The sequence below is a fragment of the Homo sapiens genome, chromosome 22 (assembly GCF_000001405.40).
Source record: "Homo sapiens chromosome 22, GRCh38.p14 Primary Assembly".
In the NCBI taxonomy this organism is placed as follows: Eukaryota; Metazoa; Chordata; class Mammalia; order Primates; family Hominidae; genus Homo; species Homo sapiens.
In genome coordinates, this window is record NC_000022.11 from 30,120,760 (window position 1) to 30,136,338 (window position 15,579).

Sequence of the window (15,579 nt, forward strand, 5' to 3'; positions counted from 1 at the left end):
CAGAGAAGACTTCTTTGAAGAGTCTGCGCATGAGCTAGGTATTAGAGGATAAATTTAGGACAGTCAGGAAGAAAAGTGGAAAAGCACAGTACAAGCAAAGTGAACAGCATATGCAAATACTTTGAGTGAGAGGAAACTGGGCAATAGCTGCAGATGAGGATGGAGGTGAGGATATGACGGGTTGTGAAAGGAATTGTATACACACTGTCTTTGAATTTGATTGAAAACTGATGGATATAATAGAAGAATTCTAAGTAAGAAGGTGACATGAACAGATTTTCCTATTAGTAATATTATTTCAGCGGTGATATGGAGAATATTTTGTAGTGTGGACAAGAAGGAAAGCAGGAAAAATAGTTAGATAGCCACTGTAGTAATCAATGCAAGAGTGAGGAAGGGATACTTTTGCGAGATAATCAGACGGTAGAAAGTCCCAGAGCTGGTGATTGATTTTATGCTTGAGAGTTGTAGAAATGTCTTTACGCTTATCTCACAAATGAGCTAACTGACCTAGAGTGTGTCTAAATGACTTGACCAAGGTCATTCAGCTAGTTATCAGCAGAGCTGATATTAGATGCCAGGTCACCTAATTCCAAATTCGTTGTTCTTACTGTTGTGGTATATGATTTTTTTCAAATCAAATTTTTAAAAAGATCGTATTTTAAATGCTTTTAGGGAATTTGCTACTTAAGAAATTCTTTGTATATACATTGCAAAAAGTACCATCGCTCCCCTAATTTACATTCTAAAAAAGTCTCAAAATATACTAATGTTTAATTTATATTTACTCACATAGTCAAAAGTTTTGTTCCTTTTGGGATAGATTGCCACTATTGTATATGATCAAAAAGTATGCTTTTTTTTCTGTGTAGTCATAGCAGCAGTACAAGCTTTGAAAGTGGAACAAACAATGAAGATATTAAGAAAGCCAGTGTTCTACTGATCCGTAAATTGTATATACTGATGCAGGACCTTGAGCCACTTCCTAATAATGTTGTACTTACTATGAAACTCCACTACTATAATGCAGGTAGGTAGAGAACTTTAGGCAAATTCCTCCTTAAGTGCTGAGCTAATATTTTCTATAAGTAAAAGGATTTTGCAGGCATCTGAAAGAGAAGTCTGTTGCTACACATGAAAGATTAATCGGATTTGTTGTATTGAAACTCAGTTTTCATGGCTTTTTGCCCTTTTCATTTCGCAGTGACCCCACATGATTACCAACCCCTCGGTTTTAAAGAAGGGGTAAATTCACACTTCCTGCTGTTTGACAAGGAGCCTATCAACGTGCAAGTGGGATTTGTCTCCACTGGCTTTCATAGCATGAAAGTAAAAGTCATGACAGAGGCTACAAAAGTGATTGATTTGGAGAACAATCTGTTTCGGGAGAACAGCACTACTGAGATCGCCCATCAGGGTCTAGACTGTGATGAGGAAGAAGAATGCAATGACCATGTAAGGCAAAGCTTTAGAGATTTTCTATCGTGTCAGTTAAACACAATTGATATTTTTCAGTTTCTACCCAGGGCATGCACGTGGAGTGTGCCAGCTATAAAAACTGAAACAAAACTAGTCTCTGACATCAAGGAGTTTTTAATCTAAAAAAGTTTAATCTTCTAAAAGGAAATATACTTTATCAGATGAAATTGTCCATAACTAGGAGGAAAAAGATTTTCTAATATATTTATTTTATTAAAGATATCATAAATTTAGAAAATTTGAGGTTTTCTTTCCTTTATTTGTAAATGACATAATTTTAGGGTTGAAAAATATTCTAGGTATTTATTCATACTCATTGGAAGTATAAATCAGTTCTTGATACTGAGATAATTGGATGGGAGGAGTTGGGGAAGATAAATTTTATGGATAAACCCGAGTCAGCGTGAAAACAAATAATAGTTAACTTCTGGTTATGTGGAGGAAGACAAGCTTTGGGGCTAACTCACTGGGGAAAGTCAGGGGGTTGGTGGGGTTGGAGCTAGTGGAGCCAAACAGTCAGGTCTCTGATCCCTTTATCCTCCCATTTCCACCAATAGAGACTTGGAGTTAGATTCTTGCTAGGGTCCCATTATGCCCTAGGTAACTCCACACCCTTAACTGGTGGTTGTCTGGATAATAATGTTAACTGTATGACAACATTGTGTTAAAAGGGTTCTGAGTTAGACAAAAAATTTTCAGTAGGAAGGGATGCTATAAGATCTTTTCAGGAGATATTTTAAGATTAGAATGATAACTTGTTTGCTTAAGATAATTTGAGTCTTATTTAAAGATAGGTGACTGTACTAGGTAACTTCTGAAGGTTCCTTCTAGTTCTTTAACTCTGTATTATGTTTAATACATTGAAAAGAGGTTCTAGTTGTTCTAGTTTTAATTCAATTAATGTAAATAATATAACCAAACAAGTAACAGATTGTTTTTAAATTTTTAGTGCTTTCTCGATGTTAGACATAAAAATGACTTTGGATTTTGGTGCAATTTTCCTCTTCCAATTTCACCCAAGGAAGATATAGCTAACATAGAAAGGGGAAAAAAAATGAAGGTTAAGAAAAGAATGTTTCAGCTAGTTTTTTTTGTTGTTGTTCTTGTTGTTTTTGAGACAGGGTCTCGCTCTGTTGCCCAGGCTGAAGTACAGTGGTGCAACCATGACTCACTGGTGCCTCAGCTTGCCAAGGAATCCTCCTACCTCAGCCTCTCGAGTAGCTGGGACTATAGGCACATGCCACCACACCTGGCTAATTTTTTATTTTTTAATTTTTTGTAGAGACAAGGGTCTCACTGTTACCAGGGCTGGTCTTAAACTCCTGGGCTCAAGCAATCCTTTCACTTTGACCTCCCAAAGTGCTGGGATTACAGGTATGAGACACCACACTGGGCCTCAGCTAGGTATTTATTTATTTATTTATTTATTTATTTATTTATTTAGGGAAAGAGTCTTGCTCTGTTGTCCAGGCTTGAGTGCTGGAGTGCAGTAGTTGATCACAGCTCACTGCAGCCTTGACCTTCTGGGCCCAAGTAATCCTTTCAGCTCAGCCTCCAGTGTAGCTGAAACCATAGGTGTGCGCCACCACACCCAGCTTATTTTTTATTTTTTTTAGAGACAGGGTCTCCCTATGTTGTCCAGGCTGATCTTGAACTCCTGGGCTCCAGTGATCCTCCTGCCTTGGCCTCTCAAAGTGCTAGGATTACACCACACCTGGTTAGATTTTTACCTTTTAATTAAGAATTTCTTTCTTTTTTTTTTTTAATCAAATGAAAGCAGGACAACCTAAGAACGCATAGTTCAACTAATAGATTAAATAAGAAATGTGATAATCCTTCTCAAGCATACATTTAGTTGAAACTATATGTATTATATGGACTTTGTGGTAAACTTAGTTGATTGAAGTTTCTCTCTCAGCCAGCCAAACATATGAGAGAATTTAGTAAGTCTAGTAAAGTGGTTACTGTCACTTTCCCACTAAGGATTCCTTTTTGTTTTCCTTCATGGAATACATGGAACACACACACACACACACACACACACACACACACACATACATACATGTGTATACATATGTAGAATCTTTATTTCTTTTAAAAATTTTATTTTGAGATATACATATAATAGACTACATAAAAATATGTACAGTTTAAAGAATAATGAGAACATCCATATGTCCTCCATTTAGGCTAAGATGTAGAACATTGCTACTCCCTTAGAAGCCACCACGTGTCCCTTCCTCATTGCACGCCCTCTGAAGGTAACCACTCTCCTGACCTTCATGATAACCTTTCCTTGCTCTTCTTTATAGTTTTGCCATGGATGAGTACATCTACTCGTTTTAAATTTGTATATCAAAGTAATCATACTCTGAGTATTCTCCTTTAATTTTCTTTTGCTTGAACTTCAAAGTTGAGATTTAGCCATTGTGTTATTGTTCTTTCATTTTCACTGCTGTAGAGTTTTCTACTCTTGATAGACATTCTTTTTAATTGCTATAAACATTCATGTACATACCTCCTGGTACACCTGTCAAAGAGTGTCTCTTGGGAATATATGAAACAGTTCTAGGCTTGTGTATTTTCAACTATATTAGGTAAAGCAAAACTGTTTTCCAAAGTGGTCGTACCAACTTACTCGCTACCCCCAGTGAAGGAGAGTACCCTACATTCTTGCCAACACTTATTGTCAGGGTTTATGTTTCCTGCCAGTCTGCTAGATATGAAATGGTAATGCCTCATGATGTTAATTTGAATTTCTCTGATTATTTGTGTGTTTGTGCATCTTTTCTTTGGCCATCCTATTTTGCTCATATTAAATAGCTGTTCATGTCTTTCATGCATTTGTCTCTCAGGTTATTTATCTTTTCCTCAATGGTTTAAAAAATATGTGCTTAGTAATAATTCTTTTTCACTCATTTATGTTGCAATATTTTTTTCATGTTTGTGGCTCATCTTTTCACTTTCTTTTTCTTTTCTTTTTTTTTTTTTTTTTTTTTTTTTTGAGACAGAGTTTCCTCTTGTTGCCCAGCAGGCCTGAGTGCAATGGCACAATCTCAGCTCACGGTAACCTTCTTTCTCCTGGGTTCAAGTGATTCTCCCGCCTCAGCCTCCTGAGTAGCTGGGATTACAGGCATGTGCCACCACACCCAGCTAATTTTGTATTTTTAGTAGAGACAGGGTTTCTCCATGTTGGTCAGGGTGGTCTTGAACTCCCGACCTCAGGTGATCCGTCCGCCTCAGCCTCCCAAAGTGCTGGGATTACAGGCATGAGCCACTGTGCCTGGCTCATCTTTCACTTTCTTTAAGAGGTCTTTTGAGCAATGTAAGTTTTTAATTTTAATATAGTCTAATCTTTTCCTTTAATATGTGCTTTTGGATATCCTTAAGAAATCCTCTACCTAAGGTCATTAATAATATTCTCATATTTTATTCTAAAAGTTTTAATGCTTTTCTTTTTACATTTAGGTTTATAATCCACTTAAAGTTTATTTTCATTTATGGAGTGAAATAGACCAGACTTTCTTAACACTTTTAAATTCAAGAATAATAAACATACAGTAAAACATATGTATCAGTGATACAGCTCAATAAATATTCACAAACTGAACACTAGAGCTGGGATGAGGGTGATGCAAGCAAGGTGCCTAGGGAGCATATTTTAAGGAAGATCTCAGGTGCCAAGAGTAAGGACCTCCTTACATTTTGCCCCCTGGACATCTTGCTTGCTTTGTCTTTGTCACAACCCTACTGAATAAATATGTGAAATCAGCACTCAGATCAAGAAATAGAATTCTTCCAGACCCTGAGAAACCCCCAGTCTTATTTTACAGTCACTATTCTGCTCACAAGAATATTGCTATCCTGACTTCTATTCGCATAGATTAGTTTCTCCTCTTTATTTTATAGACATGGAATCATAGAGTATGGACTTTTTTTTTTTGAGACGGAGTCTCCCACTGTCTCCCAGGCTGGAGTGCAGTGGTGCGATCTCTGCTTTGCTCACTGCAAGTTCCGCCTCCTGGGTTCACGCCATTCTCCTGTCTCAGCCTCTCAAGTAGCTGGGACTACAGGCGCCCGCCACCACACCGCCTAATTTTTTGTATTTTTGGTAGAGATGGGGTTTCACCGTGTTAGCCAGGATGGTCTTGATCTCCTGACCTCTTGATCAGCCCGCCTCGGCCTGCCAAAGTGCTGGGATTACAGGTGTGAGCCACCACGCAGGGCCGAGTATGGACCATTTTTTCAGTTAACATTATGTTGTGAGATTTACCCATATTTTTACATGTTGTTGTAGACCATCCTGACAATTTATTCATTCTATTGTTAATGACAATTTATTCATTCTAATGTTAATTTGGATAATTTATAATTTTTGTCTATGATGGATAGAAATGCTTTGAATATTCTGGAACATGTTTTTTAGGGAAATAACTACACATTTCTGGTGGGAATAGAATTACTAGGAGTAGAATTGCTGGGTCAAAGGGTATGTGTATATTTAGTTTTAACAGATAGTGCAAAATAGTTTCCAAAGTATTTGTGCCAATTTACAATCCCACCAGCAATGTATGAGAGTTGTGGTTGCTTTACATCCTCACTAACCCTTGGCGTTTTCCATCGTTAAGATTTTAGCCATTCTGGTGGGTGTGCTGTGGTATGTCATTGTTGTTTTAATTTATTTAATTTAATTTATTAAACTAATTTTAACTAATGAAGAGGAGCACCTTTTTATATGTTTATTGGCCATGTTGAATATTTTCTTTTGTGAAGTATCTGTTCAAATTGTTTGCTCCTACCCTGCCTTTTTTTCTCTTGGATTGTCTTTCAATCCTACTGATTTGTAGGAGCTCTGCATATATATTCTGCATATAAGTACTTTGTTGGATACATGTATTGTGAATATCTTCTTCAACCTTACGAGTTGTTTTCTTAATGAGGTGTTTTATAAACAGAAGTTCTTTTTTTTTTTTTTTTTTTTTTTTTTTGAGACGGAGTCTCGCTCTGTCGCCCAGGCTGGAGTGCAGTGGCCCGATCTCAGCTCACTGCAACCTCTGCTTCCCTGATTCAAGCGATTCTCCTGCCTCAGCCTCCTGAGTAGCTGGGATTACAGGCATGTGCCACCACACCCACCTAGTTTTTGTATTTTTAGTAGAGATGGGGTTTCATAATGTTGGTCAGGCTGGTCTCGAACTCCTGACTTCGTGATCCGCCCACCTCGGCCTCCCAAAGTGCTGGGATTACAGGTGTGAACCACCACGCCCAGCCTAATTTTTGTATTTGTTTTAGAGATAGGATTTCTTCATGTTGCCCAGGCTGGTCTCAAATTCCTGAGTTCAAGCCATCTGCTGGCCTTGGCCTCCTCAAGTGCTGGGATTATAGGCGTGAGCCATCACGCCTGGCACATCTTTGTCTTTTTCTATTTCTCTGGTTTGGTTTGTCTTTCTGATTCCAAATTGTACTTCCATAAATGTATAGACATGAATATCCTACAGGTACCTTAGATTCAACATCTTCAAATGGAATTTTAACTTCTGACCAAACATGCACTTCCTCATCCTAGGTTCCTTATCTTGGTATTGCACCATCACTTTTCTAAGCAACCCAACCAGGAATATGTTCAACTGTTATTTTCTCCTCACTTTCTACATTCTTTTGGTACACCATTTCCATGTGTTTTGCCTTTGAAGTATTTCTCAAATCTAGCGCTGTTACCACTGTGCTGATTCAGGATGTCATCATTGCTTTCTTGGTGATAGTTGAGTCTTCTAACTGGGTCTCTTTGATGTCATCATTGCCTCTCCAGTTTGTCTTCCAGGGTGCCAGAGAGTGAGGCACTCAAATATTTCAAATATTTTAAGTTGATTTATTTTGTGTAATTGCAAAGGGCAGAATGAGAACCAGTAGATGAAAATTATGTTGATTTTGGCTCAATAGAAGGAAGAATTTTCTCTTTACAAATTTTAAAGCAATGTTATTATAACATTAAAGTAATTTAAAAACCAATGGAAATCTTCCGCCGTCCCACCATCCTATCAATACTGTTTTTATTTTTATATGTCCCATCCTCTCCAGTATTTTTTCATTGATTTATATATTTGTATATGGTTTTAATCATGGTATATGTGAATTTATTTTACTTTTATACTTAACATTATTGATTTTGTAAATATGTTCCACTTTAATCTTTATATTTTTAATTTTAATGACTTCTTGTTTTATTTAGGCACTCTACCATTTCCCTACTTTGAAACATTTAGGTTAATTCTTGATTTTGCTATTATAAAGTATTATAATAAATACCTTTGCACACATGAAAGCATTTAAAAAATTTTTCTACGAATATAGTATCAGGAGTGAAATTTACAGAGCTTCAACATTTGTATGGCTCTCAAATGAGTAGTACCAAATCATTTTCCAGAAGCTGCCAGCTTCTCCACCTCCTCAGGGTGGATTTTCTAACAATGATAACTACTTAAACCTGGTTGCCTTGTGTGGGGGTGAGCTCCAGTGTCACCAGCTGTGCTCAAGTGCAGATATACACGTGTGTTCAAGATAGAGTATATGATTAGGGTGTTGCAAAAGTAAAATCATGATTTAGAGGGAAGGTTGAACTAGATTGACCTCTAAGATATCTTTCATGCTAAGATTGTCTGGGATATTTTTTGAATCCCTATTAAGAGAATAATGCCCTGGCCGGGCGCGGTGGCTCACGCCTGTAACCCCAGCACTTTGGGAGGCTGAGGCAGGTGGATCACAAGGTCAGGAGATCGAGGCCGTCCGTCCTGGCTAACACAGTGAAACCCTGTCTCTACTAAAAATACAAAAAATTAGCCAGGCGTGGTGGTGGGCACCTGTAGTCCCAGCTACTTGGGAGGCTGAGGCAGGAGAATGGCAAAAACCCGGGAGGTGGAGCTGGCAGTGAGCCGAGATCGTGCCACTACACTCCAGCCTGGGTGGCAGAGTGAGACTCTATCTCAAAAAAAAAAAAAAAAAAAAAAAAAAAAAAAAAAAAAAAGAGAGAGAGAGAATAAATAATGCCCTGCTAAGCACTGTGAGGAAAATAAAGACATATAAGATATAGCCTGTGCCCTTTAGAATTGTGGCTGAAGAGATAACACCTACATAATGTAATAAAAAGGTAATACTAGAGAGTATATGAATGATAGAAATAATATTAACTAACAATTTCGAGCACTCTCAGAGCTTTACATATATTATCACTTTCAATCTTCCTAGCTATTTTATAAGGTAGATACTATTGTTATCTTCATTTTACAAATAGGAAACTGAGCCAGAGAAATTAGCCCAAGACTCCATACATAGTGAATTTGTAACAGGGACAGAATTCAAACCCAGGCAATTGAACTCCAAAGTACTAGGATTACAGAAAAAAGGATAAATTGGTACTGTGTGGGAAAGTTTCATTAAGTTGGTGATTTTTTTTTTTTCTTTGAGATGCACTCTCACTACATTGCCCAGGCTGGTCTTGAACTCCTGGGCTCAAGCAATCCTCCCACTTCAGCCTTCCATGTACCTGAGATTATAGGCATGTGTCACCATGCCTAGCTTGATTTGGTGATTTTGTGGATGAATCATATTTTGATTGGCAGTGATCATGGCAGAGGACATTCCAGGCAAGTTGGAAAGTCCAGTATGGTAGCATCAGAAATTCTGTCTCTGTGACTTAGAATTACAATACTGAATGTTCCACGCCTTTCCTGTATCCTACATGGCTTTGCTGAAATTTCTTTACTCTTGGTAATCTCTAACTCAAAGATTTTTTAAAACTTTAAAAATAATTTGTAATTTAAATTTTATTTAAAATTAAAATAGAAAGTTTATAAATTTTTGATCAAACAGCTTACACTGCTTTTCTACCAATGATCTATAGTAAAGAAGGGATTTAACACAATCATCTTGTTGTGAGACCGTTGAAAATAGAAAGATTTTAATACAATTTTCTTTTTCAGGTAATTCCTTATTTCAGTCACAGAAAGGCAAATATAACAGAGTTTCTACTAATGGTTGAAATTATTCAGTAATTGTGCTATTCACTTTCTGGTGTGATTCTTAAGATCCAAGGAATAATGTGAAAGTGAGATTATAATTTGGCAATGGATTCAGAATTGTAAAAGCACATATGCTTGAAACTTAGGAATTCTTAAATTATAAGAACTCTAAAAACCTAACTCCACTTGAAAAATAGAACGTTGGAATTGTCCAAGGAATCCCGGGACAATACAGGGTTCAGTAAGCCTGTCTGAAAAACGCTGTCCTAATTGTGTCCTTATCATTTAATCTGCCCCCCACACACTTTCAGGACAGGTCTTCATTCTTTTCTTTTCTTTTTTTTTTTTTTTTTTTTTTGAGACAGGGTCTCACTCTGTCACCCAGGCTGGAGGGCAGTGACGCGATCTCGGCTCACTGCAATCTCTGCCTCCTGGGATCAAGCCATTCTTCTACCTCAGCCACCCGAGTAACTGGGACTACAGGGGCGTGTCACCATGTCTGGCTAATTTTTATATGTTTTATAGAGACAGGGTTTCGCCATGTTGCCCAGGCTGGTCTCCAACTCCTGAGCTCAAGCAACCCACCCGCCTCTGCCTCCGCCTCCCAAAGTGCTGGGATTACAGGCAAGAGCCACCATGCCTGGCCAGGTCTTCCTTCCTAATAGGGGTGTTTTAGGCCTAAGCTATAGCTACTAAGTCTACACAAACACAAAAGCACTTCACATAACCCTGGGAAGTTGTTTTTTTTTCCCTGTCATAGACAACTGGGCAGATAGCAGTAGACATACACACTGAAGACAACTTCCCCTAAAGATCCTTAGACAGGTTTCTTCAAAGAACTGACCTATATGGTGCTAATCAACATATGTTCTGTAATTTGTTGTAGAATCTTACTTAAATTTATGCTGTTTAAATGCTAAGGAAAAAGTACTTCTTTCTAGTAGAAATAATTAACCCAATCTCCTTAAAAAATTCTAGTAATTACTTACACAGACAGTGATAAAAAGATGGAGGGCTAATGTTGGCCCAGGTCTATTTTGGAGATTAATTGTTCCAGTTTATTAAGTCATTATAGTTCTTTGAGAATTAATATTTTAACCATATTTTTAGGCAGGGGTCTACTATAATTTTCTAATTTTCTGAAATACTTATGTGTCTTTATACCTCCAAATACAGTTGCTAGACACTCTCTACAAGGCTTTTTTCTAGGCCTTTCTTTTGTAACTAGAAATCTTGATCCAGAATGGCATTTTTTTCATCTGTAACATATCAATTTCACTGAAGCATAAATAATTCATACAAATGATTTTTTTTGAGGATGAGCTAAAGGCAGAGAATACTGTTTTCTTATAAGAGCCACAAGTATTTTTAAAGTTTATTCAATAGTTTATCATTTGATTTAGTTACAAAGAATGGTTTGCTTTTTAAGCATATCCCAAACATACACACTCTATTACACTATTTTCTAAGTGTAATAAAAATGGTTTGCATTTTGCCTGGATTTCTGCATCTTATTTCAATTTAAAAATAATGTTTTAAGATAGCTTTTTTCTTTTTTATGAATTCCACAAAAGAATCCACAAATTATAACAATATGTAGTTTACCTGATGTATTCTTTCCCTCCATGAAGCTCATTTCTTTTGTGCCAACACACTTAATTAAAAAGTAAATGATTTATTTGTAAGAAATTAGAATGTAAAGTACATTGTTTCCACGGTAAATAGCAGCATTTACGTGTGGACTAGAAAGGTATTTTTCTGAATTCCTTAGAATTGCTTTGTATTTCAGATAGTAGATTAAAACAAGAGCCTTTTCATTCAAAACCTATTGTCTCCCACTAAACTCTGAACTGAAGTTTTGCATTTTTTGAGGTATAGTCTGATGATTTTCATAGCATCACATCTCCTGAAGCATATATGCCTTCTTTGATACAACATAGTGTTGGCAAGAATATCTCAGATTCTTGGAAGTGGGGTAGATTATTGAAAGCACTGGAAGAGGCACATTATTTGCAGAAAATATCCAGCCTTAAAAAAACACACACATCAGGCCAGGTGCAGTGGCTGATGCCTATAATCCCAGCACTTTGGGAGGCCAAGGCGGGAGGATCACCTGAGATCAGGAGTACAAGACCAGCCTGGCCAACATGGTGAAACCCTGTCTCTACTAAAAATACAAGAATTAGCCAGCACGAGAATCGTTTGAACCTGGGAGGCAGAGGTTGCAGTGAGCTGAGATCACTCAGGCTACTGCACTCCAGCCTGGGAGACAGAGGGAGACTCCGTCTCAAAAAAAAAAAAACAAAACCAAAAAACCACACACACACACATCATTCTTTCTTCATCATGAGACTCTAGTCCTTTTCATTAAGTTTCCTTTTGTCAAACAGAAAATTATTTCCAATTAATTTTTCTGTTTTGCAATCCAGAATGTAATTGCTATCCTCTGTTAACTGTGCAAAGAGGAATGAAAGTTGGTTGACTTTCCCATCAGTCTTATAAGTCATTTCTTTTTTTATATGAATCATTCTATAACATCAGAGAATTACTTCTTTCCTTTTGTGAGTAGGAAGAGCCACACTGATTATCTGTATATGTTTCACTCACATTAAAGAAGTATACTGATATGTATTATAGCAGAAAAAAAAGTCAAACACAGTGAGTAATCTTAGGTAGAAATGCTTTGGATGTTACAATTAATAAGCCCTAGCATTAAAATAAATAAATTTTGTTTAAAAAAGAGTAAGACAGAATATTCTGTTTGGTTAAAAAAGAGATGCCTCTAATAATACAATGTTATCATTACACCAAAATCAATGAAATATTAGGTTTCATTTAAACTCAGATTTTTTTCAAAGTGACTTCATTGAGATTTTATTCAATTGCACATTGGAAAAAAGTATAATGATAATGTTACCCAATTTCCTATAACTATATTCAGTTGGCTGATTTTCCTAATACCATTATGTGTGTTAAAGTTTTCTATTTGATGCTAAATTGTCTGTTGGTACACACATGAGATTATGCTTGTAACAAATCTAAGCATCATAAGAGGAGTAATAATTCTTTTAGCATTTATATTAGGATCTCAAAATTGAGAACTAAGACTTCAGAAGACCAGTCCTTCTGACAATGGTAAAGAAAAGTTAGAAACACAATTGGCCTCATTTTCTTCTGGATTTGGCAGACCTGTTAGTGTTAATTGTATATATATACATATATATATAATATATTTATTTATGATTATACTTTAAGTTCTGGGATACATGTGCAGAACATGCAGGCTTGTTACATAGGTATACACATGCCATGGTGGTTTGCAATTGGCCCTTTGTATCTGTGGGTTCTGCATTAGTGGATTCAGCCAACTGTGGGTTTAAACTGTTAAAAACAAAAAACAAAAAAAAGGATGATTGGGTCCGTACTGAACATGTACAGACTTTTTTTCTTGTCCCCCATGGTTCCCTAAACAATACAGTATAACTACATAGCATTTATGTCGTATTGGGTATTATAAATAATCTAGAGATAATTTAATATACATGGGAATATGTACATAGGATGTGCATATTATATGCCAATACTGTGCCATTTTTTATAAGGGATTTGAGCATCCATAGATTTCCTATCTGTAGGTGTGGAGTGTGTGTGCCCTGAAACCAATTCCTCATGGATACAGAGGGATGACTGTATACTTTATGAGCCACTACCTAGGTGTGCTTTTTTTCTGCCCAATGGAGGGCTCTTTCTGCTTTGATGACCAAAGTTGGAACAAACAAACTTTATCACTAAAGGTATCATTTTGACATTTAAACAAGGCTACATGAAGCTCATTGTGAAGAAAGTTTAAAAGAATGTTCTACTGGGGCCAGGTGTGGTGGCTAATGCCTGTAATCCCAGCACTCTGCGAGGCCAAGGCGGGTGATCACCTGAGGTCAGGAGTTCGAGACAAGCCTGGCCAACATGGTGAAACCCTGTCTGTACCAAAAATACAAAAAATTAGCCAGGCATTGTGGCGGATGCTTGTAATCCCAACTACTCGGTAGGCTGAGGCAGGAAAATCACTTGAACCCGGGAGGCGAAGGTTGCAGTGAGCCGAGATCACACCATTGCACTCCAGCATATAATATATATGATTATATATATATAATCATAAATATATATATTTATGATTATACTTAAAGTATAATCATAAATAAATATATTATATATATGTATATATATACAATTAACACTAACAGGTCTGCCAAATCCAGGAGAAAATGAGGCCAATTGTGTTTCTAACTTTTCTTTACCATTGTCAGAAGGACTGGTCTTCTGAAGTCTTAGCTCTCAATTTTGAGATCCTAATATAAATGCTAAAAGAATTACTCCTCTTATGATGCTTAGATTTGTTACAAGCATAATCTCGTGTGTGTACCAACAGAGCCTTGCTCTGTCACCAAAAAAAGAAAAAAAAAGTTCTACTATATTCTAATCAACAATAGGTTATCAGCATTTATTCAGTCAATAAATTTATATTGAGGCCTACTATGCTTGAGTCATCATAGGAGGGTAGTGTACACAAAGAAGAATGGGCCAAATCCCTGATTCAAAATTGATTAGAGGAAGAGAAACAAACAAATAGCTATTTATTATATAATAATAATAGCCACCATTTATTAAGTGCCCACAAAAGGCTGTGTATATTTGTGAACCCAATTAATCCCAACAACAACTTTGCGTGATATTTTATAGCTGAAGAAACAGAAGTTCAAAGACATTAAGTAGCATGTCCAAGGTTGCCCAACTAGAGAGCATCAAAATCAATATTTCAATCTAGGTCTGTCTGGCTCCAAAACTCATACTCAACCTGTTAAATCATATATTCACCTATGTAGGGGAGAGCGTGTAAAATTTCAGAAGAGAGGTAAAAACCCTATATTAGAATGACCAAATTCCACTTTCACTCATGAAAGAGTAATGTAAGAGTTACCCTCTTGCTGTAAACAACTAGAAAACTGGGCAAAATATATGAAGCAACTGTTTTTGGACATTAGATAACAGGCACACAGGAATGGGATCCTTGACAGAAGAAAAGTGAGACCAGTCTTAAAATTGCCCTAGCTTCCTGCTAGGAGGCACCTTCCAGACCACTGGTTCAGGGAGAGAGAACCCAAGCAGAGCATGGCAGTCTTGCTGAGTCGAAGAAAGAGACTGGAGTATGGGGAATCTGAGGCAGTTGGAAACAGAATATCAGAGGGCAGGGAACTATACAGAGAAGGAGATCCAGAAATCAGCATAGGGGTTCCTTGAGTCTTTTAATATTCAGCTTTTCAGGTGTGGGTCAAAACTCCACAAGCCTGGACAAAGAAAACTGGCAACTTAACAATTCCCAGAGCTCTCACAGGGATGGGAGATGTTCACATAATTACCAGTCAAATGGAGAGCCCTTCTCGAACACTCAGAACATTCAATAGAGACTCCAGAAGGGTTACATGTTAGCAGTAGAGCTAAACCAAACTTTTAGTAAAACCCTCCAGATTTAATCTAATAAAGTTTTAAAATATGCCTCAAAAGGATCAAGCTTATCTGCCTGCCAAAACAATTTTTAAGAAAGATAACAAAATTCAAACATTCAACAATGTAACATTCTTATTGTTCAGAATCTAATAAAAGTTTCTTGATATGTAAAGCAGCAGGAAAACTGATCCATAACCTGAGGGACACCAGTCAGTAGAGGCAAGCCCAGAAATTTCAGCAATGATAAAATTAGTAGATAAGGACTTTAAAACAGCTGTTATACCAAGTACAATGATAGCCTATGTTTACACACAAAAATGTATGCAAATGTTTACAGCAACTCTATTCATAATCTTCAAAGTATGGAAACAATTAGGTGTTTCTTAATTAGGGAATGGATAAACTTAAGACAAAAAGGAACAAACTACTGAAACATGCAACAACATGGGTGAGTTGCAAATGCATGATAAGTTAAAGAAGCCAGAATCAAAAGACTACATACTATTTGATTCTATTTGTACAACATTTTTTCTGTTTTTAATAGCTTGAAATGTAATTTATTTACCATGCAATTCACTCATTTAAA

The 15,579-nt window shown here is 36.7% G+C and overlaps 1 protein-coding gene across 11 annotated transcripts in view; it reads left to right on the forward strand.

Moving 5' to 3' along the window:
- The window catches only part of HORMAD2 (HORMA domain containing 2), a 129,725-nt gene that overhangs the window by 43,028 nt on the left and 71,118 nt on the right, over window positions 1-15,579 (forward strand). For all 11 annotated transcript variants that reach the window (XM_047441154.1, XM_047441156.1, XM_047441155.1 and 8 more), the window contains 2 exons: window positions 873-1,030; window positions 1,205-1,455. In XM_047441154.1, coding sequence (XP_047297110.1) covers window positions 873-1,030; window positions 1,205-1,455 — 409 coding nt within the window. The remainder of the gene's footprint in view (window positions 1-872; window positions 1,031-1,204; window positions 1,456-15,579) is intronic.